This window comes from Homo sapiens, chromosome 16 (genome assembly GCF_000001405.40).
Source record: "Homo sapiens chromosome 16, GRCh38.p14 Primary Assembly".
Taxonomy (NCBI): domain Eukaryota; kingdom Metazoa; phylum Chordata; class Mammalia; order Primates; family Hominidae; genus Homo; species Homo sapiens.
This window is the reverse complement of record NC_000016.10, coordinates 15,567,399-15,591,928: the sequence shown is the minus strand read 5'-3', so window position 1 is coordinate 15,591,928 and position 24,530 is coordinate 15,567,399. Positions and strand designations below refer to the sequence as shown.

The 24,530-nt window shown below is 47.7% G+C and overlaps 2 protein-coding genes across 3 annotated transcripts in view, besides 4 other annotated features; both read right to left on the bottom strand.

The window, feature by feature from the left end:
• Window positions 204–1,403: an enhancer, noted in NCBI's record as "P300/CBP strongly-dependent group 1 enhancer chr16:15684383-15685582 (GRCh37/hg19 assembly coordinates)". NCBI's record gives its function as "activates an origin of replication core promoter dependent on BRD2, BRD4, P300/CBP, MED14 and CDK7 cofactors, with strong dependence on P300/CBP, by STARR-seq in HCT116 cells {active_cell/tissue: HCT116}" and the evidence as "EXISTENCE:reporter gene assay evidence [ECO:0000049][PMID:35650434]".
• Window positions 563–857: an enhancer, noted in NCBI's record as "tiled region #10490; K562 Activating non-DNase unmatched - State 5:Enh". NCBI's record gives its function as "activates a minimal TATA promoter and a strong SV40 promoter by Sharpr-MPRA in K562 cells {active_cell/tissue: K562}" and the evidence as "EXISTENCE:reporter gene assay evidence [ECO:0000049][PMID:27701403]".
• MPV17L-BMERB1 (MPV17L-BMERB1 readthrough) overlaps window positions 3,670–24,530 on the bottom strand; it is a 192,506-nt gene continuing 171,645 nt past the window's right edge. Inside the window, exons 3-6 of the mRNA NM_001414674.1 lie at window positions 23,873–23,946; window positions 10,598–10,712; window positions 8,691–8,773; window positions 3,670–5,212 (exon numbers count right to left, since the gene is read on the bottom strand). Coding sequence (NP_001401603.1) covers window positions 5,100–5,212; window positions 8,691–8,773; window positions 10,598–10,712; window positions 23,873–23,946 — 385 coding nt within the window. The 3' untranslated portion in view covers window positions 3,670–5,099. The remainder of the gene's footprint in view (window positions 5,213–8,690; window positions 8,774–10,597; window positions 10,713–23,872; window positions 23,947–24,530) is intronic.
• The window catches only part of BMERB1 (bMERB domain containing 1), a 153,672-nt gene continuing 132,811 nt past the window's right edge, over window positions 3,670–24,530 (bottom strand). For both annotated transcript variants that reach the window (NM_033201.3, NM_001142469.2), the window contains exons 3-6: window positions 23,873–23,946; window positions 10,598–10,712; window positions 8,691–8,773; window positions 3,670–5,212 (exon numbers count right to left, since the gene is read on the bottom strand). In NM_033201.3, coding sequence (NP_149978.1) covers window positions 5,100–5,212; window positions 8,691–8,773; window positions 10,598–10,712; window positions 23,873–23,946 — 385 coding nt within the window. In that variant the 3' untranslated portion in view covers window positions 3,670–5,099. The remainder of the gene's footprint in view (window positions 5,213–8,690; window positions 8,774–10,597; window positions 10,713–23,872; window positions 23,947–24,530) is intronic.
• Window positions 4,344–4,845: an enhancer, noted in NCBI's record as "H3K4me1 hESC enhancer chr16:15680941-15681442 (GRCh37/hg19 assembly coordinates)". NCBI's record gives its function as "activates a minimal SCP1, AML or CMV promoter by ChIP-STARR-seq in primed H9 embryonic stem cells {active_cell/tissue: H9 hESC(primed)}" and the evidence as "EXISTENCE:reporter gene assay evidence [ECO:0000049][PMID:30033119]".
• Window positions 12,283–12,783: an enhancer, noted in NCBI's record as "H3K27ac hESC enhancer chr16:15673003-15673503 (GRCh37/hg19 assembly coordinates)". NCBI's record gives its function as "activates a minimal SCP1, AML or CMV promoter by ChIP-STARR-seq in naive H9 embryonic stem cells {active_cell/tissue: H9 hESC(naive)}" and the evidence as "EXISTENCE:reporter gene assay evidence [ECO:0000049][PMID:30033119]".

The window sequence follows — 24,530 nt, the reverse complement described above, 5'->3', positions numbered from 1 at the left end:
TAGTCACACAGTCAACCATGCCCGGAACCCCCAAGCCCCCACTTTTTTTTTCCGAGATGGAGTCTCACTCTGTTGCCCAGGCTGGAGTGCAATGGTGCGATCTCGGCTCTTTGCAACCTCCGCCTCCTGGTTTCAACCGATTCTCCTGCCTTAGCCTTCCGGGTAGCTGGGATTACAAGCATGTGCCACCACACTTGCTAATTTTTGTATTTTTAGTAGACATGGGGTTTCACCCTGTTTTTTAAATTCTCTAAAAGGAAGAGGACACTTTTTTTGTTGTTGTTGTTGTTGTGTTGTGTTGTGTGTGTGTGTGTGTGTGTGTGTGTGTGTGTGTTTTGAGACAAAGTCTTGCTGTGTCTCCAGACTGGAGTGCAGTGGCGCAATCTCGGCTCACTGCAACCTCTGCCTCCCAGGTTCAAGCGATTCTCCTGCCTCAGCCTCCCAAGTAGCTGGGACCACAGGCGCCCACCACCATGCCCAGGTAATTTTTTTGTATTTTTAGTACAGATGGGTTTTCACCATGTTAGCCAGGATGGTCTCAATCTCCTGATCTCGTGATTTGCCCGCCTCGGCCTCCCAAAGTGCTGGGATTACAGGCGTGAGCCACCGTGTCCAGCCCTGTTTGCTTTTAAATGGGAGAGACCTGTTTAAATCCCTCCGATGGGAAGAGAAAGAACAATTGGGGCTACAGTGGTGGGGAGGGAGGGAGATGAATGATGACTCTGTCACTAACAACCCCTGGGACCGTGGGCAGTGGATTTACTGCCACTTCCTCATCTGTAAAGTGAGAAGTGATAACAGGATCTGACTCACTGTTTCAAGTGTTTATTCTGCCTCCGCTTGCAACCTCTTGCAACCTCCGCTTGAAAAGGGTAATGGATTTACTGCTACTTCCTCATCTGTAAAGTGAGAAGTAATAACAGGATCTGACTCATCAGGCTGATGTGAGGAGGGAACCAGCCAGTGTGAGCACATTGCTCAAGGCATAGAGATAAGCTACAATAAATGTTATTCCCATTATCAACCTCCTCCATGGCTTCTAAAAGGAGCAAGTCTAGGTGTGCAGGACCCCACAGTCTGCAAGGTTTCCCAGCTTGGAAGGTGGCCCTGGTAATCTGGAAGCGTCTGTGACAGCTTAAATAAATTGGATTTTTTAATGTTTTCTTTTTTTAAAAAAATCAGTAGGAATTACAGGAACATACAGTAGGTGTACCCAGAGCTTAGCGGAAGTACCAGAGGCAGGATTTTGATGAGGGTTTGATCTCCTCTGGTTCGTTGGATCTGTGAGTGACTGCTGTATAACTGGCCTGAGGTCAGACCTCGCTGACCCCCCCACTCCCCTCTCCCCTTTTTTTTTGAGATGGAGTCTCGCTCTGTCGCCCAGGCTGGAGTGCAGTGGCACAATCTCTGCTCACCGCAAGCTCTGCTCACTGCAAGCTCCGCCTCCCGGGTTCACGCCATTTTCCTGCCTCAGCCTCCTGAGTAGCTGGGACTACAGGCGTCCACCACCACGCCCGGCTAATTTTTTGTATTTGTAGTAGAGATGGGGTTTCACCGTGTTAGCCAGGATGGTCTCGATCTCCTGAACTCGTGATCCGCCCGCCTCGGCCTCCCAAAGTGCTGGGATTACAGGCTTGAGCCACCACGCCCGGACCCCCCAAGCCCCCCCTTTTTTTTTTCCGAGATGGAGTCTCACTCTGTTGCCCAGGCTGGAGTGCAATGGTGCGATCTCGGCTCTTTGCAACCTCCGCCTCCTGGTTTCAACCGATTCTCCTGCCTTAGCCTCCCGAGTAGCTGGGATTACAAGCATGTGCCACCACACTTGCTAATTTTTGTATTTTTAGTAGACATGGGGTTTCACCATGTTAGCCAAGTTGGTCATGAGCTCCTGACCTCAAGTGAGCCTCCCACCTCGGCCTCCCAAAGTGCTGGGATTACAGGCATGATCCACAGTGCCCAGCCTTGACCCACATTTTTTATGGGGAAAAGAGGGCGGTGGGCCCTTTGCAGCCTGAGTTTTCACTGCACGTTGGAGCGGGAGGGGTCTGTGGTGGGTGGAATTGGGTCCTCCCCAAATGCATGTCTACGTGGAGCCTCAGAATGTGACCTTGGTTGGAAAGAGGGTTTTTGCAGAAGTAATTAAGGAAAGGGTCCAAATGAGATCATACTGCATTCGGGTGGCCCTCACTCCAATGACTGGTGTCTTTTTAAGATGAGAGGGTGCACAGAGGCACATATACAGCGGAGGCGGCCACGTGGAGACAGAGGTGAAGACTGGAGTGGTGCAGCCAGGGAACTGCCAAGGTGCCAGGAGCCACCAGGAGCTGCAAGAGGCAAAAGAAGATTCTTCCCCACAGAGGGAGCAGAGCACCGCAGACAGGTTGATTTCAGGCTTCTGGCCTTTAGGACTGTGAAAGGAGACGGTTCCACTGTTTTAAGTCACCCAGTAGAAGGTCATTCATTATGGCATCCCCAGTACACGAAGAGTCTGGCTTCATGATTGGTCTAGGTTGGTGAAGGAGGACACGGGGTCCTCTGAGGCCATTGTGGTGGCACTGAGTAGCCCAAGGGACCCTTTTCAGCATCAGAATGGTGGGAAGTGGTGTGCAGACCAAAGCCGCGAACACGCAGAGTGGGAGGACTGGGGTCTAGCAGCCTGCTGGGAGGGCCTGTCCAACCAAAGACCTTTTGATCTACAAATTTTTTTTTTTTTTTCGAGACGAAGTCTCGCTGTGTCACCCAGGCTGGAGTGCAGTGGCGCAATCTCAGCTCAGTGTAACCTCTGCTTCCCATGTTCAAGAGATTCTCCTGCCTCAGCTTCTTGAGTAGCTGGGATTACAGGCACAAGTCACCACACCCAGCTAATTTTTGTATTTTTTGGTAGAGATGGGGTTTCTCTGTATTGGCCAGGCTGGTCGCGAACTCCTGGCCTCAAGTGATCAGCCTGCCTCTGCCTCCCGACGTGCTGGGATTACAGATGCGAGCCACCGCACCCAGCCAATTTACAAATATTTTGAAAATGCTACTTATGAATGGCCCAATAATTTTACTTCTAGGAGTTTATCTTAAGGAAAAAATAAAAAATTCAGATGAAACCTTATCCCCCTAGATGTTTATCAAGACACTATTTTTTTTTTCCAGGGGGTGCGATCTTGCTCTGTTGCCCAGGCTGGAATACAGTGGTGTGATCATGGCTCACTGCAGCTGGAACCTCCCAGGCTCCAGCAATCCTCCCACCTCCCAAGTAGCTGGGATCACAGGCCCGCGCCACCGCATATGCCCAGCTATTTGTATTTTTAGTAGAGACAGGGTTTTGCCATGTTGCCCAGGCTGGTCTCGAACTCCTGGACTCAAGCAATCCTCCCGCCTCAGCGCCTGGCCCAAGACACTTTTTTTGTTTTTTTTTGAGATGGAGTCTTGCTCTGTCACCCAGGCTGGAGTGCAATGGCACGATCTCGGCTCACCGCAACGTCTGCCTCCTGGGTTCAAGTGATTCTCCTGCCTTAGCCTCCCAAGTAGCTGGGATTACAGGCACCCATTACCATGCCTGGCTAATCCAAGACACTATTTATAAGAAAACCTAGAACCAGTCTACACATCCAATAGTGAGGAAATGATTAGATGAATTACAGTACATCCACAAGATGGATTACTAAACAGACATTGGCATGATTTATGAAGAGTGTTTAATGTTTACAAAGAGCTTTTAATGATGTGGAAGATGGTGGTATAATAAGTAGGAAAAAACTGGTTATAAATGATACCACAATATGATGTCAACGATGAAAAAATGCACAAAAAAAGACTTTTTTAAAACGTCGAAACATCAGAGTGGTCTCTAGTTGGAGGAATAATTTTTTTTTTTTTTAAGACAAACTTCTTCATACTTTTTGTACTTTTAAAATGATTTACTATGTACATGGATTACTTCCATAATCAAGAAAAAAAGTAAAAACTTTTAAAATGCTGTGAACGTGGTTTCCATTTTTATTTTCTCTGATGGGTGACTGCACATCAGCATCTTGAGTTATGCTAACTACTTAGGCTGGTCACGACACACACACACATACAGAGAAGTCACACAGGCTGTACCGGGCTGGCTGTTGCAAATGTACATGAATTACACGGGTTGAAGTTGTTTGGCAGCTAGTTAACATATGCCACCCAATGACGGGACACAATCTGGTCACACGCTGCCTCTCCTGCCTGTTGCTGTTCTTTACAAAGGTCCGTGTGTCGGGCTGGCAAAGTGGCATCCTGCTGGCATCTCTGTGGTGGCCCCGGAATGGTGGAGTGCCCAGGTCAGCATCTACTCTGGGTCCCATTCTCAACTGCTCTGGCCTTGACATCAGAGCTTCCGGTTCCCTGCTGGCTCTTCTGCACACTGGATCCATGCCAGTCCAGGCCCCCTCCAGGCACACACCTGAGGCAGACTGAGAGCACAATGGACGCTGTCCTGATGTGAACTGTGCCCAGACACAGGATGGGGGGAAGCGGGAGATGTGACCACGACACCACACACAAGCTCGATCTTTACAGATGGGCCCTCTGGGACTGCTATATGGGTGGTGCCCGAGAGACACGGGGGCCATGTGGAGCCCTCCAGGGCACAGTTGCTGGGAGAGGACAGACGGGAGGGGACCTGTGCCCATGTGCCTAGCTCTGAGAGCAGAGCTAGGAGGGTGGATGGGGAACGTGTCCGACATGGTGCTAGATTGTTGAGAAGTCACGACTACACACAGCTGGGGAGCATGCCCCTCTCCCAGTTCATTCACACGGTGGGTTAGATACAGCTAGAGAGAAGTGGAGATATGCTTTTTTGAGGGAGGACCTTTCCTGGTGTTTGGATAAACAGTGAGACAGACTCCTGGGTTCGGCATGCTCTGGGGAGGACCATGCGACGGTGAGAGACTCCCTACTGCTACACTCTGTACAGGGTGGCCAGGCCCGCCTGCCGTGCCCATGGCCTCTGGTGACAGTCACGGGCTTGCCTTCAACCCCTTCTGCCTTGGAGAGCTCTTGGGCCCCGGTGAAATGGGGGCTATAAAGACAAGAGGGTGGGGGGGGGTCCCCATGGCCCAGGGCACCCCACGTGGGGGCTACATGATGTTGCACTGGGTGGCCCCGCAACAATCCTTGATCAGTGCCAGCCCCGTCTTGGCCACCGTGGGCTTGCTAGGTGGGGGCTCTGCTTTCTTCTCTGCCCGGGAGCCTGCAGCAAGATGTGGGCACAGGGAGAGGGGGAGAAAGGAACAGAGAGAGAGAGGTGAGGTGAGCAGAGCCCTGACCATCTGCAGCCCAGCCCCACTGCAACCCCTGGCCAGGTCTTGTTCCAGGCCTTGTTCAGGTGGTATGGAGAGCTGATGCACATTTCATATGATCCTCAGCTGGTCCTCATTTTATAGTCCTCATTTTATATGGTCCTCAATGCTCAGCTTCCAACCCTAACTTTCAGCCCTTCTCCTAGTCAGCTGTTATCATCATTGTACCTGCCAAGCCTAGCACAGGGCCTGACATCCAAGAAGTATTTGGTAAATAGATAAATGGGAAATTTTGTTCAAGTCACTTCAATCTGAGGGCTCATATTTTTCAATTTTTGAAAATGCTCATACATTGTCTTTTCAGATACCTCCACCTCCCATTCTCTGTTTTATCTCCTAGAATGCCTATCACATGTAAGTTGGACCTTCTCACTCTATCCTCTCGGTTTTATAACTTCTCTTTCATATTTCTCATCTCTTTTTCTCTTTGTGCTGCATTCTGTGTAACTTTCTCAGGGCTGTCTTCCAATGTATAAATTCTCCCTTCAGCTGTGTCTCTGTATTTAATCCATTGAGTTTTTACTTTATTGATAAAAAAAAATTTCAGAAGGCCAGTTTTTTGCATGTCTACTTATTCTTTTTTCATAGCATCTTACTATTTCATTTTGGGTTTTATTCCTTCTCTTAGCTCTTTGATCATTTAAAAGTACTTAGTTTATTTTCCTTTTTAAATAGTTCTATATTTTTGGTTCTTGGGAGGACATTCTCTTTGGTGCATCTACTGATTCTCCTCATGGTGATTCAGTTCTTCATGGGTTTTTCTTTTCTTTTCTTTTCTTGAGATGGAGTCTCGCTCTGTCACCCAGGCTGGAGTGCAGTGGTGTGATCTTGGCTCACTGCAACCTCCGCATCCTGGGTTCAAGCGATTCTCCTGCTCAGCCTCCTGAGTAGCTGGGATTACAGGTGTGCGCCACCATGCCTGGCTAATTTTTGTACTTTTAGCAGAGACAAGGTTTCACCATATTGGTCAGGCTGGTCTCGAGCTCCTGACCTCATGATCTGCCCACCTTGGCCTCCCAAAGTGCTGGGATTACAGACATAAGCCACTGTGCCCGGCCGGGTTTTTCATTTTTATTGAGGGCTCATCTTCAAGGGGGTTGCTTTTTTCTGTGAGAATACTGTATACCATGGGATCCAGAAGAATCCCTACTGAGCAGTTTTGCATTTGCTAAATCTGCTAGGATCCCAGAGATTTCACTGGTTTTACAATAGTTTTTATTTTTCAACTTGGAATTCCAGTACCAGATGAGTAGTGTAAAGTTGGCCCCTTGCATGTGGTGCATGCTTGGTGTTTTGATTTCTCGCCAGAATCATTTCTTTTTTCCACCCATAATCCAATAGAGAAGGCAAGTTTCCTTGCTCCTCCTCCATGCTGCTAAGTGGAGTTTTTCTACCTTGCCTTTCATGAAAGGGTCCACTGAGGATGCTGGCCTTCGGCAGTGATCACGTGCCTTGTGGTTATAGGAGCCAGCAGAAGAGATCATTGCCCTTCTCTTTCCTTACTCCCTCCAACCATCTTTCACAGGATGTTAATGAAAACTGGGTTTGTAGTTTTATAGACAGTGGCAGCTTTTGGTTTTTGTCTTCCCAGCAAGATTTCAAGTCCCTCTTCCTCTAACAGCTCATGTCCCTGTGGCTGCAGGAGTGGGCATGTTATACATTCCTGGCCAATCCCAGTACCCCCAGCCTCTTGGTGATGGTAATGGATCTAAGAGGTGGGAACATAATCCCAGAAGGGCGGGTGAGAATATTTCCCTGAGACTTATGTATTTCGATACCAGGGAAAAGAACCTGTGGTATTGCTTCAGAGTTGCTAAGCTATGGTTCTAGGGTTCTGGTCCCATGGAGAAGGCCTGTGTTGTAGGAAAAAATGATGCTTACATGCAAAGAGAGGCAGAGATGAGAAAAAGAAGAAAAGGAGGGGAGGTAATAGTGTTCAGTCCTTGAGGCTCTAGTTCTTGTTGCTCTTTCTCCAACAAATTCCTTTTTTTGCTTAGACCAGTTTGAATTGGGCATCCATTTCTTTTCTTTCTTTCTTTTTTTTTTTTTTGAGATGGAGTCTTGCTGTGTCACCCAGGCTGGAGTGTAGTGGTGTGATCTCGGCTCACTGCAAGCTCCGCCTCCCCAGTTCACGCCATTCTCCTGCCTCAGCTTCCCGAGTAGCTGGGAATACAGGCGCCCACCACCAAGCCCGGCTAATTTTTTGTATTTTTAGTAGAGACGGGGCTTCACCGTGTTAGCCAGGATGGTGTCGATCTCCTGACCTGTGATCCGCCCGCCTCGGCCTCCCAAAGTGCTGGCATTACAGGCGTGAGCCACCGCGCCCAGCCAGGCATCCATTTCTTCTAACTGAAAGAGGCCTCACTAATACAGCAGTTAAACACATTTGAGAAACGCTGGGTCAACAAAGAAAAGACAGTTTCTTGACAGCAGGATCCATCATCACTTTAATATCCTAATGGACACTGGGACTCTCCAAATACAGGGTCAAGTAAACAGCATTTCTCAAACTTATTTCATATAAAACCCTCTTTGCTCTGAGGATCTGATGAGGTTAATATTCTGAGACATATGCTTCTGGCTTCTCCAGAGATTCCAGACCTAAGAGAGGCCAGAGCTCCCTGAGCCTCAGTAGCTACCCAATTCTTTCTATGAAATGCACCAAACTTTGCAATTAGGGAGGAACAACTACCAGGACCAGGTACGTAGTTTGCAGAGTTCAATCCAATATGAAAATGTAGGGCCCCATGTTCCAAACGTATTAACAATTTCTAGACAGCAACAGGAGAACATTAAACCAAGCATGGCACCCTTCTAGGCATGAGGCCCCAGGCAACTGCCTACAGGCCCATGAGGCTGGTCAGGCATGAGGCCCCAGGCAACTGCCTGCAGGCCCGTGAGGCTGGTCCTGCCTGCTGTCATCCCATGCTGAAATCTGATCTCTAGATCTGATCTCTAGAAAGCATTTTGTTGCGCCCCTTATGGCTCCCAGACTTCTCTGAAATGGCCTTTTTTTTTTTTTTTTTTTTTGAGACAAAGTCTTACCCTGTCACCCAGGCTGGAGTGCAGTGGCCCAATCTCAGCTCACTGCAACCCCCACCTCCCGGGTTCAAGCAATTCTCCTGCCTCAGCCTCTCGAGTAGCTGGGATTTCAGGTGTGTGCCACCGTGCCCAGCTAATTTTTATATTTTTGGTAGATACGGGGTTTCACCATGTTGACCAGGCTGGTCTCGAACTCCTGACCTCAGGTGATCCACCCACCTTGGCCTCTCATAGTGCTGGGATTACAGGCGTGATCCACTGTGGGCCTGGCCTGAAATATACTTTTCTCTTTTGTGGGGGAGGGGAATGAATAATGTATATACTCACTGGCTGGAGATTTGGTTACTTTGTCTAGAGGTTTTAACTTGATTCTCAGGAAATCAGCCATTTCCTTGTCTTCTTCTTGCTCCCTGTGAAAGTAGATGGGTAAAAGAAAAGAAGATACACAGCAAGCAAGGAAAGCATCAAGGAACCAATGAAATAAACCAATAGGTTAAGCAACAGGCTTTGTGGATGGGGCATGTATGTTGTCACGTGTTATGCGTGTACAGTATGTATATGTTGTATCTGGTGAACCTGCTCTGAACCAGAGACACATATCAATGATGGGGTAAATGCTTACCCAGAGGTAGGTATGTGACCCCAGGGCAGAGGCAGGGACATTACAGGACCCTGCTGGGGGGTCAGTGAGTGAGGCAGCACCTCTCCTGACCTTGTATTTTGAAGCCACCCTATTCACCTGTGCTCCCACAAAGTATGAGGCAGGTCTCAGAGAGCGAGTCACCCCAGCTCTTCCAAGGATCACCAAGATAAAGTAGGTGGGTGCAGACTTGCTGAACTGCCTTGAAGAGACACGGTCTTTCTTTGCCACCCAGGCTGGAGTGCAATGGTGCAATCGTAACTCAAGAAGCCTTGAACTCCTGGGCTCAAGAGATCCTCCCACCTCAGCCTCCCAAGTAGCTGAGACTACAGGAGCACTCCACCACTCCTAGTTAATTAAAAAAAAAAATTGTAGAGATAGGGGGGTCTCACTATGTTGGGGCAGCTTGTCTGCCTGCCCAAGACTGGCATTGATAATTTCTTCTAGATCTGGAAGCAGAACCGGAGGTAAGGAGAATATAATATTTGTTGTAGTTTTCTGTATTTTTTGTTTTGTTTTGTTTTTGAGATGGAATCTCACTCTGTCACCCAGGCTAGAGTGCATTGGTGCAATCTTGGCTCACTGCAACCTCTGCCTCCTGGGTTCAAATGATTGTTTCCTGCCTCAGCCTCCCAAGTAGCTGGGATTACAGGCATGCACCACCACGCCCGGCTAATTTCTGTAGTTTTAGTAGAGACGGGGTTTCACCATGTTGCCCAGGCTGGTCTTGAACTCCTGACCTCAGGTGATCCACCCACCTTGGCCTCCCAGAAGCGCTGGGATTACAGGCGTCAGCCACTGTACCCGACCATAGAATATAATATTTGGATAGGAGGGAAAAGTTGGTTTCTCTCATTAACCAGAAGTCCATTGCAGCATGAAGAAGGGCAGTGGAACTGCTAGTCCCAGGACCCTTGAAGAAAGGTCTCTGAGAACACAGACAATAAAGAGCAAGTTGCCCTCTGGGTTGGAAGGGCCTTTTTCCTTGTGAAAGGCCCTAAAAGCTTTGCTCTGGTGTAAGGAAACAAAAATCAAGAACCAACATGTACAGCTTTCCACATTTTCAACATTTACAACATGTTTTTACACTGCAGCTCCAGGGCTGTGGTTGTCGAGGTCAAGGCAGCAGATGCAAAGAGAAGACCCTGATACTTAGAAAAGGGCATTGGCGCCACTAAGGGGAAGGGAAAGGGGAGAACAAAGCTGGGAGGTTGGGAGGACAGAGGTTGGGAGCAAGTCAGTTCAGGTGGCAGAGTTTCGGTAGAAACTGATAGCAGAAGTTTCAAGACATTGCCTTCAGGAGTGACAGGATGTGAAGGAAGCTCTGCCATGTATTATGGGATGTGACTCCTCCCTGGTCACTTCCTGGAACAACATTCCCTCAAGAGGCACAGATTTGAAATTCTCTTATATACAAAATGAATTCTCAAGCCAGAAGGCTGGGGTTCCTTGGGATTCAGTGTCCAGAGACTGTGGATCAAGGCCATGCCTGTTAGGCAAGGCTGTGAGTCCCAGGAGCAGAAGATGGGTTCTGGAAGGAAGCAGAAGGTTGCTGTCCTGCAGCCCAGTGATCGGGTACCCGCAGTGCACTCACCTTAACCGCTCGACCTCCGCATCGTCCACCAGGAAGTCTCTCTTCTGCACCAGTTTGTGGATCTTCTGGATTAGCTCATCCTCTCTCTGCTTCTGCAGTTTGGTTTTTTCTTTTTCTGGAAAGAAGACATCAACAAGGAGACAGATGAGCATTTTGGGAGGCTGAGGTGGGCGGATCACTTGAGGTCAGGAGTTTCAGACCAGCCTGGTCAACATGGTGAAACAACCCCATCTCTACCAAAAATACAAAAATTAGCCAGGCGTGGTGGCACACACCTGGAATTCCAGCTACTCGGGAGGCTGTCAGCCACCACCTCGGGAGGCGGGAGAATTGCTTGAACCTGGGAGGCGGAGGTTGCAGTGAGCTGAGACTGCGCCACTGCACTCCAGCCTGGGCAACAGAATGAGACTTCATTTCAAGAAAGAAAAAAAAAACAAAAAATTACAGAGAGACAGATGAGAGGGTGACCACTAAAAGCACTTGAGCTGGCCGGGTGCGGTGGCTCACACCTGTAATCCCAGCACTTTGGGAGGCCAAGGTGGGCGGATCACGAGGTCAGGAGATCGAGACCATCCTGGCTAACAGGGTGGAACCCCGTCTCTACTAAATACAAAAAATTCGCCGGGTGTGGTGGCGGGTGCCTGTAGTCCCAGCTACTCGGGAGGCTGAGGCAGGAGAATGACATGAACCCGGGAGGTGGAGCTTGCAGTGAGCTGAGATCGCACCACTGCACTCTAGCCTGGGTGATAGAGCGAGACTCTGTCTCAAAAAAAAAAAAAAAAGCACTTGAGCTGAGCGGCCAGGATTGATTGGAGACCTGACTCTGCCCTTCCACCCTCTGGATGAACTTGGAGAAGCAACTTGACCTCTTCAAGCTTCAGTTTTCTCATCTGTAAAATACACAGTGAGGCTTAAAATGGGAGTAATGGGCTGGGCATAGTGCCTGCCACCTGTAATCCCAGCACTTTGGGAGACCAAGGCAGGAGGATCACTTGAGGCCAGGAGTTCAAGACCAGCCTGGGCAACATAGTGAGACCCTCCTATGTCTACAAAAATTTTCTCTGTAAATTAGCCACATGTGATGGAGTGTTCCTGTAGTCTCAGCTACTTGGGAGGCTGAGGTGGGTGGATCTCTTGAGCCCAGGAGTTCTAGGCTGCAGTGAGTTATGATTGCACCATTGCACTCCAGCCTGGGTAACAGAGAAAGACCCTGTCTCTTAAAAAAAAAAAAAAAAATTGAGAGGGCAGGGTGAGTGTGGGGAGGGAGAGCATCAGGAAAAATAGCTAATGCATGCTGGGCTTAATACCTATGTGTCGGGCTGACAGGTGCAGCAAGCCACCATGGCCCACGTTTACCTATGTAATAAACCTGCACATCCTGCATACTAAATTGCATACAATTTTGAAATGCAGTAGTGTTAGTAAATGGCTTAGTGGAGTGCTTGGCCTTGGCTGAGAGCCTTCAGTAAATGGTCATGACAAAGCCAGGGTCTTCTGCAAAGGCAGGGGGTGAGGAGAGGCTCAGATAGGGGTGCTGGGAGGGAACTAGTTGTTTTTTTCCCTTTGGTGAAGGTAAACCAATTTATCAGAAGAAAATCATCCATGCCAATGACACTAACCCTGTCCCAAACACCAAGTGCTAGGATGCCAAAGAGAAAAAATAAAAAAAAGAGAGAGGGCTGAAGATGAGGTTTGAGAAAATTAAGAGGCAAAAACTTAAACCCACTTGGGCTCTTTCTGCTCAAATCCCTTCAGAATAAAAAATGTGGGACAGCTTGTCTGCCTGCCCACGACTGACGTTGATCATTTTTTCTGGATCTGGAAGCAGAACCAGGGGTAAGGAGAACATAATATTTGGATAGGACAGAAAGTTGGTTTCTCTCATTAACCAGGAGTCCACCACTGCACGAAGAAGGGCAATAGGCTTGCCAGCCGCTCCCCATTCCCAGCCATTGGTGCATTGGATGATGGTGTCACTGCTCCTGCCGTGGTAAATCTTGTGGGTTGGGTCTGATTCCCCAAATCACTCGTCAGCACCGCAGAGCCGCTCCCTGCCCTCTCCAAGCACGCACCAACACCCATCGACTCACCAGGACCCCTGCTCACTCAGGAGCTCGTGGTGTGACTTTACTCTCCAAATAACCATTGACAGCACTCTGACATTCCCAAGTGCCCTCCACTGCTCTCTAGATCTTAGCCAGAATCACCCAACAACTGGCTGGGCCCCCAACATCTGCAAACCTCTGTCTCCAAGCCATTCATCCATGTGTTCTGTCACTCACCAATAGAGGCATTCCCCAGCCTCAGCTGCAGCAACTCCCAGGAGAAACCACCTACTCACACAAGTGGCCTGCGTCAGCTCACAGACCTATGACTAGCCCAAGTCTCCAAGTCATTGGCCAATGCTGCTCACGTGCGTGTGTGCCACATACCTTTCCCATCATCTTCCACTTGCCTACAGGTGCCACCCACTGAAATCCTAACCTCCATGGTCATAGTATTAAGAAATGAGGCCTTTGGGAAGTGAGTAGATTATGAAGGTAGAACCCTCATGAATGGAATTAGTGCCCTTATAAAAGAGACCCAAGGGAGCTTGTTTGCCCCTTCCACCACACAAAGGCACAGTGAGAAGGTACCATCTATAAGGAACAGGCCGTCACCAGGCACTGTATCTGCCAACACCTTGATCTTGCACCTCCCAGCCTCCAGAACTGTAATAAATGTTGTTTACAAGCCCCCGGTCTAGAGCAAGCCACAGAGACTAAGGCACCCCCAAAGTTCATGTGTGCCCTATTTGGAAATAGTTTTCCCCAGTTTATATCTCTTCTATTTGGAAATACTCTATTTCCAAAGTAATTTGTAAGTTGCTTTGCACATGTAATTATAATAGTTAAGCTAAAATGAGGTCATACTTATTAGCATGGACCCTAAACCCAATGACTTGTGTCCTTATGAGAAGAGGAAAGAGACCCAAGCATGGTGGCCTGAACCTGTAATCCCAGCTACTTGGGAGGCTGAAGCAGGAGGATCACTTAAGCCTGGGAGTTCTAGACCAGCCTGGGCAACACAGCCAGACCCTGTCTTTTAGAAAAAAAAAAAAAAAAAGAGGAGAAGAGAAGACACACAGACACACACAGGGTCACGTGAAGATGGAGGCAGAGATTGAAGTGGTGCAACCAGAAGGCAAGCAATGCCAAGAATTGTGTGTGTTACTGTTAGAGTAGGTAGCCAGGCAGCCATGAGCAAGAAAGGAGAGGGGATTTCCCCCCCAAGGAATGCCAGGCAACCATCAGGTGATGTCAGGCAGTTGTTAAAATTGTCTCTCTAAAATAATAATTGGTCACAGCTGGTGCCAGGGAAAGGCCATCTCCCAACAGACAGAAAACACCTGAAGTTATCAGCGGTTTCCCGATGAGATCTCAGGAGTTGGGCAACTGGGCTCAAGCATGCACATTAAGAGGCAAAATGGCGGAGTCTAACTGGTATATGACCTTCCTCTAGGAACACTCAACTGGTGAGGGAAAAACATCTCAAATAATCAGGCCCATGACTTCTGTAAATACACTGTGTTTGCAGCCTCTCCCAAGCGCTGGCAGGCCACTGCGCATGCGCACAACCTGCCCTGAGGGAAAATGAAGGGAGGAGAGACATAAAACCCTGGAATATGCCAACATATAAAACCCCGGAACATGCCAACATATAAAACCCCAAATCAAAGGTCAAGCGGTGCACTTGGATCTCTCAAATCACCCACTTGGCCGTCTTCCAAGTGTCCTTTACTGCCTTTCATTCCTGCTCTAAAACTTGTTAATAAACTTTTGCTCCTTCTCTAAAACTTGCCTCGGTCTCTCACTCTGCCTTATGCCCGCTGGTGGAATTATTTCCTCTGAGGAGGCAAGTATCAAGTTGCTTCAGACTCGTATGGATTTGCTACTGCTAATGATACAGGAGTGAAGAAGAAATTATTTAGGCAGATAGGGTAAGGAAGTCCTCGGTAAGGTTTTCCTTTTAATGAAAAGCAACCCCCAAATCATTTTCTTTTCTAACAAGGAGCAGCCAGTAAAATCGAGCTGTAGACATAGTCAAGGGAGCTGGAAGCTTACACGGGTGAATGCTGGCAGCTGTGCCCATAGGAAAAGGCCACCTGGTCTAGGTATGTTCAAAATGGCGGCTCCACGCTCCCTTCTCTTTGCCAGCCATGTGTACAGTAAGGAGAAGACAACATGGCGCCGCCCAAGTGGAAAGTTCATTTGCATGATAAGATTAGGGTGGGGTGGCCAGCCTTCCCATGCACTATGCAAACGTCACACCTGCTCCAACCAATCTGTGGGCCCTATGTAAATCAGACACCACCTCCTCAAGCTTGTCTATAAAATTTGGTGCAGTCTGCCACAGGCCGGAATTCCCATTCAGGGACTTCTCGAGAGAGACCGAGAGAGCTGTTCCCTTTTCTCTTTCTTTTGCCTATTAAACCTCCACTCCTAAACTCACTCCTCTGTATGTCAGTGTCTGTGTCCTTAATCTGCTTGGAGAGAGACAACGAACCTTGGGTATTTACCCCAGTCAACAACACTACTTCACTAACACTACCAGAAGCTAAGAGGCAAAGGAGTCTCCTCTAGAGCCTTAGCAGGGAACAAGGCCCTGTTGACACCTCGATTTTGGATGTCTGGCCTCCAGAACCGAAAGAGAATACATCCAGAACCGAGAGAGAATACATTTCTGTTGCTTAAGCCATCCAGTTTGCACCAATTTGTTAGGCAGCTCTGGGAAATGAATGTAATGCCCTAGGGCTTCAGGAGACTCCACTGTCCTTCCAGTAATTGTTTGTTTTGTGCTTACATAAGCTTGGATGGGTTTCTGTACCTTTCAGCCAGACTAATCCTTGGAGAATTGTGAAATGAGAGAGGGGAACAGGCCTGGCGGTTCCTAACCGTCCCTGCTTATCACAATCAGGTGCAAAGCTTTAAAAATTGCCAATGCTCGGCTAGGCGCGGTGGCTCACACCTGTAATTCCAGCACTTTGGTAGGCCGAGGCGGGCAGATCACGAGATCAGGAGGTTGAGACCATCCTGGCTAACACAGTGAAACCCAGTCTCTACTAAAAATACAAAAACAAAATTTGCCGGGCATGGTGGCGGGCGCCTGTAGTCCCAGCTACTCAGGAGGCTGAGGCAGGAGAATCACTTCACTTGAACCCCGGAGGCGGAGACTGCAGTGAACCCAGATCTCGCCACTGCACTCCAGCCTGGGTGACAGAGCAAGACTCTGTCTCAAAAAAAAAAAAAAAAAAATTACTAATGCTGAGATGGATCAGGTGAGGCAGGAGAATATGGTCTGGAGGCAGGGAACCTAGGGCCAACTTCCTAGAACTAAATCAAAAGAAAAACCCCAACTTTCCACACATAAGTAACAAAAGGACTGGAGGCTACTCCCTTTGCAAACCCTCCTCCTTTTCTGTGTGTCACATGAGAAATTGAAAGTATATCTGATTGGTCGCAGAAAGCAACTGCAAAAGCTTTCTGCGACCAATCAGACTAATTGTGGGCCACTACTTCATTTACATAGGGTGTACACCAAGTAGCCAACGGGAAACCTCTAGAGGGTATTTAAACCTCAGAAAATTCTGTATTGGGGCTCCTGAGCCCCTATGCTCAGGCACACTCCCACCCTATGGAGTGTACTTTCATTTTCAATAAATTTCTGCTTTTGTTGCTTCATTCTTTCCTCGCTTATTTTGTTTGTGTGTGCATTTTGTCCAATTCTTTGTTCAAAACACCAAGAACCTGGACACCTTCCACCAGTAACACAGGGACTCCCTTTTGGGGTCTGTGGGAGACCCCCACCCCAAGCATGGAAATAAAGGAAAATCTTGAGTTCCCTCAAAGGAAATTCTAGGCACCTAGCTAGCCTTGAAAAGTCAATAAGCAACTTATCAGTAAGAAGGTAATAGTAGCCTAAAACAATAGCCAAGGAAGTTAGAATCTGGAGATGTTTTGTTTTCTATAGAAACTGAAGATAAACATCTTAGCATATATGTCTGAGTTGTTTTTCAGAAACCCAGGACCCTACCAAATGGATCCACTGGCATATAGACGTCAGATAAAGGAAGACTAAGGACTGAATTCTGACCATCTTTCCTTGTTCTAAGTGTCTTCCAGAGAGGCCTGGAGGGAGTCACACCCATGGGCCAGGGATGCCATTCTTTTCTGCTGACCCCCGATTTTTATTATTTTTATTTATTTATTTATTTGAGGCAGAGTCTTGCTTTGTCGCCCAGGCTGGAGTGCAGTGGCACAATCTTGGCTCACTGCAACCCCCCTCTCCCGAGTTCAAGCAATTCTCCTGCCTCAGTCTCCCGAGTAGCTGGAAGTACAGGCAGGCGCCACCACACGCGGCTAATTTTTGTAATTTTAGTAGAGACGGGGGTCTCGCCATGTTGGCCAGGCTGGTCTCCAACTCTTGGCCTCAAGCAATCTGCCCACTTCGGCCTCCCAGGGTGCTGGGATTATACGCGTGAGCCACTGCACCTGGCCTTGACCCCCGATTTTTAAACAAAGCTTCTCTTCCTTAACCAATTGCAAATTAGAAAATCTTTCAATCTACCTATGACCTGTGAGCCCCAGCTTCAACGTATGCAGCCCTTTTAGGCCAAAATTGATATGTAATCTCAATGTATTGATTTACAATTTTGCCTGTAACTTCTGCTTGACTGAAATTTACCCCTGCCTTTAAAAACCTGCACTGAAATCGCCATTGCAAAATTATAAGAGACAGTGAAAGAGATCTGACCTAATCAACTCCATCTTGCTTCTAACCTCCAAGCTGTCCTTGTTCATTACTGGGCATAGGCTGAACTAACTATGGGAGGAACTTACTTTATCATTTAAAACAAAGACGATAACAGCCTTTTCCCAAAACAAACTCCCTTCTTGCCTGGGAACTAGACTGCATTTGTAGGTGATACGGTTAGGCTTTGTGTCGCCACCCAAAACTCATCTTGAATTATAATCCCCATCATCCCCACGTGTCAAAGGAGAGACCAGGTGGAGGTGACTGAATCACGCAGGCAGTTTCCCCATGCTGTTCTCGTGATAGTGAGCGAGTTCCCATGAGATCTGATGGTTTTATAAGGGTTGGGCAGTTCCTCCTGCGTTCATTCTCCTTCCTGTCACCTTGTGAAGAGAGTGCCTTGCTTCTCCTTCACCTTCCACCATGATTGTAAGTTTCCTGAGGCTTCCCCAGCTATGCCGAACTGTGAGTCAATGAAACCTCTTTCCTTTATACCCAGTCTTGGGCAGTTCTTGACAGCAGTGTGAAAATGGACTTAACAAATTAACCAGAAGATTAGGAATTATGATAGTGAGTGAGTTCCATGAGATCTGATGGTTTTATAAGGGTTGGGCAGTTCCTCCTGCGTTCATTCTCCTTCCTGTCACCTTGTGAAGAGAGTGCCTTGCTTCTCCTTGACCTTCCACCATGATTGTAAGTTTCCTGAGGCTTCCCCAGCTATGCCGAACTGTGAGTCAATGAAACCTCTTTCCGTTATACCCAGTCTTGGGCAGTTCTTGACAGCAGTGTGAAAATGGACTTAACAAATTAAGCACAAGATTAGGAATTATGGTTTAGGAATCATGCAGCTGGAGGCTACAAGATGCTGACCCTCCCCAGATTACTCCTGAAGATAACACCACTATTGTAAAAACCAAGATCAATGCTTGAGGTATTTTGCAGACCGTGCACTTGATGGGTCAGTGGGTACCACCCAGATAAAGTGGCTCATCTGACCTTGTGGCCCCAACCCAGGAACTGACTCAGTGCAAGAGGACAGCTTCGGCTCCCTGTGATTTCATCTCCGACCCAACCAATCAGCACTCCATTCTCACTGCACCCCCACCCCCATCCACCAAATCGTCTTTAAAAACTCTGATCCTGGAATGCTCAGGGGCACTGATTTGAGGAATAATAAAACTCCAGTCTCCCTCAGCCGGCTATGCATGAATTACTCTTTCTCTATTGTAATTCCCCAGTCTTGATAAGTCAGGTTTGTCTAGGCAGAGGGCAAGGTGAACCTGTTGGACAGAACATTACCTATAAGCCATTGAGGAGGTCAGGCTTGAAGCATTAGCTGCCCAGTCCTCCTGGCTTGGAGCCTTGCAAATAAACTGTTTCCTTTTTACCACTGCAAAAACTCTGGGGAGACAGCTGGTCTTACTGTGCCAGGAAAGCAGACCCTAGTTGTATTAGTCCATTTTCACGCTGCTGATAAAAACATACCCGCAACTGGGTAATTTATAAAGAAAAAGAGGTTTAATGGACTCACAGTTCCACGTGGCTGGGGAGGCCTCACAATCACGGCAGAAGGCAAAAGGCACGTCTTACTTGGCAGCAGGCAGCACAGAAAATGAGAATCAAGCGAAAGGGGAAACCCCTTATAAAACCATCAGCTCTCATGAGACTTCTTCACTACCATGAGAATAGTATGGGGGAAACTGTCCCCCATGATTCAATCATCTCCTACTGGGTCCCTCCCACAACACACGGGGATTATAGGAGCTACAATTCAAGATGAGATTTGGGTGGGAACACAGCCAAACCATATCACAAGTTGAGTTCTATTACAATGCCAGAGTCCAAAGCCAACAATGCCAGATCAATTGCATTGGGGTTTCTAGTGGGTGGAGAATAGACTTTGGTACTTTTCCCTCATTCCTTCGTTGTTTTATGTTTGACATTTAACTTTTTTTGGTAACAGCTTTATTGCAATATGATTCACATACCATGCAGTTCATCTGTTCCAAGTGTATTTGCAGAGTTGTGCAACCATCACCACAATCCATTTTAGAACATTTTAATCACCCCCAGAAGAAACCCCATACCCACTAGCTGTCGCTCTCTTTCAACTAGGAAAGTCTATTCACTCGTTTATCCTTAGGGCCTACACAGTGCTGGGCACCTAGTAAATGCTCACGAAAGCTAGAGGATTCAGTTCTACTGTCATTGCGCACACTACCCTTACAACAAGACTGTGTGGAAGACTCCTACACCTTGCCTTTGTTATTTATGGGATATTCACAACAACCATGCGGGGGGTAGTATTATTGGCCTCATTTTCCCAACAAGGAATTCAAGGCTCAGAGAAATTAAGTCGCGAACTTTCACGAAGTTCACCTGCCTGCTAAGGCTGAATTCAAACCCAGATTGCTGCACTCTAATTACTAAAGTAGTAGTTCTTATGTGGGAGCTGTAAGCTGCAAAGTGTCTGAGAAGGTCTCAATCAATCTGGAGGTTTATTTTGCCAAAGTCGAGGAGGCACCTGGGAAAAAGAGACACAGGCAGCAATAGGATCCCCGGCCTGTGCTTTTTTCTGCAGAGGATCTTAAGGACTTCAATATTTAAAGGGGAAAGAGAGGGCAGGAAGGGGAGGATTGCATTCTCTGGCCCTCAGTGAATTTGCATTTTACATAGGATAAAGGAAACGCGGAGTAGAGGAGGAAGTCAAATGTGCATTTGTCTCCGGGTGGGCGGAGGGACGATGATTTATAGTCTTGTCTTAGTCCCCTACCTGTTAGGATAAGCTGTTAATTTACATTGACAGGGTGAGGGAGGCCCCTGGGAAGATAGGTGGCCTTTCTATCTTGCAGCTATCTGTTTAGGAAAAAAAGAAAGGCAGTTTTGGCTGGGTGTGGTGGCTCACACCTGTAATCCTAGCACTTTGGGAGGCTTGAGGTGGGTGGATCATGAGGTCAGGAGATCGAGACCATCCTGGCTAACACGGTGAAACCCCACCTCTACTAAAAATACAAAAAATTAGCCGGGCGTGGTGGCAGGTGCCTACAGGCTCCCAGCTACTCGGGAGACTGAGGCTGAGGCATGAACCCGGGAGGCGGAACTTGCTGTGAGCAGAGATCGCGCCACTGCACTCCAGCCTGGGGGACAGAGCGAGACTCCGTCTCAAAAAAAAAAAAAAAAGTAGGTTTTTGTATGACTCATAGTTCCCAAGCTTAACTTTTCCTTTTGGTATAGTGAATTGGGGTCCTGGGACTTTATTTTCCTTTCATAGGGCAATGTTGCACACCCCCCTGACCTCGCTTGGGGTACATTCAGCAACATCTGTACATCTATAGACATTTTTGGTTGTCACTGTCAGAAGGGTTTGAACTACAGTGACTCCATCTTGAATAGGGGCTGGGTAAAATAAGGCTGAGACCTACTGGGCTGAATGCCCAGGAGGTTAGGCATTCTAAGTCACAAGATGAGATAGGAGGTCGGCACAAGATACAGGTCACAAAGACCTTCCTGATAAAACAGCATTAGTAAAGAAGGCTGCCAAAACCCACCAAAGCCAAGATGGCGATGAAAGTGACCTCTGGTCGTCCTCACTACTCATTATATGCTAATTATAAGGTATTAGCATGCTAAGAGGTACTCCCATCAGTGCCATGACAGTTTACAAATGTCATGGCAACATCAGGAAGTTACCCTACATGGTCTAAAAAGGGGAGGAACCCTCAGTTGTGGGAATTGCCCACCCCTTTCCCAGAAAACTCATGAATAATCTACCCCTTGTTTAGCATATAATCAAGAAATAGCTATAAGTACAATCAATCGAGGAGCCCAAGCTGCTACCCTGCCTACAGAGTAGCCATTCTTTTATTCCTTTGCTTTCTTAATAAACTTGCTTTCACTTTACGGACTCGCCCTAAATTCTTTCTTGCTCTTGGTCCAAGAACTTTGGGGTCTGGATCAGGATCCCTTTCAGGTAACATCACCATTGAGGGGTAGCGGAGAGGTACGTTGTGCTAATGGCCTGTAGTGGGTAGAGGCCAGGGATGAAACTCAACATCCCACAAGACACAACACAGAGCCCCGTACCCCCAACAAAAAATGATCAACCCCAAAGGAAGATACTGACATTTGTCAACCCCAAATGTCAATAGTTGAAGGTTGGGAAACGCTGCTCTAAGGCTCATCATGCTGCACTTGTAGCTCAGTAAGAACTGCCACTTATGGGCACCCACTGTGTGCTGGGCCCAGTCTCTTTCTGCTAACCTGGGGGCTCCTTGAGAGTGGAGAACCGTTCTCTGTTCATCACTGCAAGCCCGGCTCCTAGGTTCAGAGCTTGCTGCAGAACAGCCTCTTGGGACATAGTTATTGAACTGACAGCATGGCAAAAACATTCAAGTCAAGGGTAATGGTGGGTGCTTATCTGGCCTATTTGAAAACACCTTTGCAAAAATGATAACAGTGAGAAAATTAGGACAGTGAAAGGGATCTGATCTAACCAACCCCCATCTTGCCTTTAACCTCCAAGCTGCCCTTAATCATTCCCAGGTTTAGGCCATGCTAGCTTTGGGAGACATTTAGTTTATAGTTTAAATGATTATAACCTTTTCCACCAACTAAACTGCCTTTGTAAAGCTAATAAAAGGCCCCCATGTTAGAAGGATGGGAGGAGGCTGAATTCTGCTAAGGTGTAGACATAAATGACTACTGCCATTATTCCAGAGGTCACAAGATTTGCAACTTCCCCAATTACTCCTGCAGATAACATCACTATTGCAGAATCTAAGATCAGCCTTTTGAGATATCTCTTTAGGTTTTGCATTTCTGATGAATGATGATCCACGTGGACCTGCCACCCAGAAGTGGACTTAGCACCCCTGAGAATCATTTTTCACACACCTATGATTGCATCCCCAACCAATCAGCAGCATCCATTCTGATATAGTTTGGATGTGTGTCCCCGCCCAAATCTCATATTGAAATGTAATACCCAGTGTTGGAGGCGTGGCCTGATGAGAGGTGATTGGATCATGATGGAGGTTTCTCATGATGGTTTAGCCCCATCCTCCTTGGTACTGTCCTTGTGATAGTGAGTTCTCATGAGATTTGGTCTTTTAAAAGTGTGTGGCACCTCCCGCCTCACTCTCTTGCTCCTGCTCTGGGCACGTGACATGTCTGCTCCCTTGTCTTCCGCCATGATTATAAGTTTCCTGAGGCCTTCCAGCAGCTGAGCAGACACCAGCATCATGCTTCTGGTACAGCCTGCAGGACTGTGAGCCAATTAAACTTATTTTCTTTATAAATTACTCAGTTCTCTCTTTCTTTTTTTTGAGTCGGAGTCTCGCTCTGTCACCCAGGCTGAAGTGCAGTGGTGAGATCTCACCTCACTGCAACCTCCACCTCCTGGGTTCAAGCAATTCTCCCACCTCAGCCTCCTGAGTAGCTGGAATTACAGGCACCCGCCACCACCCCTGGCTAATTTTCATATTTTTACTAGAGATGGGGTTTCACCATGTTTGCCAGGCTGTTCTCAAACTCCTGAACTCAAGTGATCTGCCCTCTCAGCCTCCTAAACTGCTGGGATTACAGGCGTGAGCCACCATGCCTGGCCTGGGACTAGCATTTTGATAAGGGTAAGCCCCACAGAGGGCAACTAACACAGCCTGATGGGCAGGGGAAAATTTTTTGGAGAAGATGCCAAATAAGTCAGGCATTATTAACTACCAAATCTGGGGTGACTTCAAAGTTAGAGTTTGTACACACTTCATCTGTTCCCAAGTAGGATAATAATGGTCATAATTGCTAATATTTACTGGACTCTTGAGGCCAAATATCAAGCTAAGCACTTAGTTTGCATCATCTCATCGATTTTTATGATATTTAATTTAATTTAATTATATATTTTTTTGAGACAGTGTCTCGCTGTGTTGCCCAGGCTGGAGTGCAATGGCACAATCTCAGCTCACTGCAACCTCCACCTCCCAAGCTCAAGTGATTCTCCTGCCTCAGCCTGCCGGTTACCTGGGATTACAGGTGTGTGCCACCACACCTGGCTAATTTTTGTATTTTTAGTAGAGATGGGGTTTTGCCATGTTGGCCAGGCTGGCCTCAAACTCCTGACCTCAAGTAAGCCACCCATCTCAGCCTCCTAAAGTGCTGGGATTACAGGCATTAGCCACCGTGCCCAGCCTCTTTAGGATATTTATACTCAATGAATTAGACCCTCTTACTATTACTAGCCAATTTTCAGAGGAGGAGAAATTGAGTCTCAGAGAAGTACAGTGACTTGTCCAAGGACAAGAAGGTGACCAGAATTCACTAGGACTTGAACCCAGGTCTTCCTGACTCGAAGTTGTGTTTGACACATGCAGTCAGGGAGCACTGCATTGCAAGAATGAGGCTCTGTCTTCCAGACCCAGGCGTACAGATGGGCCAGGCTGGGGGCCCCCAAGCACCTGTTTAGCACAAGGTGAAGTTGCAAATGGTTACCTGGGATGGCGACCAAGTTCTGCAGCTCCTGCTTCAAGTCCATGATGTCCTTGCAGAGCTGGATGTCATCCATCCTGGGGAAACAGGACACCATCAACAGCAGGTTACATCAGCAGAGCATTACGCCCTGAGCATCACCCGGTTAACACAAAGAAGCTATTAAAGGTGGGTTATCTTTTGAAGAGGCCATACATGCTCATTGTAGAGGTTTTCCCTCAAAAGGAAAAAGCCAAACACTGCTCAATTATCCCACCACCTAGAAATGATCACTGTTTTTTGTTTGTTTGTTTGTTTGTGACAGAGTCTCACTCTGTTGCCCAGGCTGGAGTGCAGTGGCATGATCTCGGCTCACCGCAACCTCCACCTTCCGGGTTCAAGCGATTCTCCTGCCTCAGCCTCCCAAGTAACTGGGATTATAGGTGCCTGCCACCATGCCCAGCTAACTTTTTTTGTATTTTTAGTAGTATTTTTAGTAGAGACAGGGTTTCACCATGGTGGCCAGGCTGGTCTTAAACTCCTGGCCTCAAGTGATCTGCACACCTCAGCCTCCCAAAGTGCTGGGATTACAGGCATAAGCCGCGGTGCCTGGCCATCAGTCACTGTTAATAACACCTCGATAGAGCTCCTTCCAGTCTTCATGTGCCTGACTTAGGTTTGC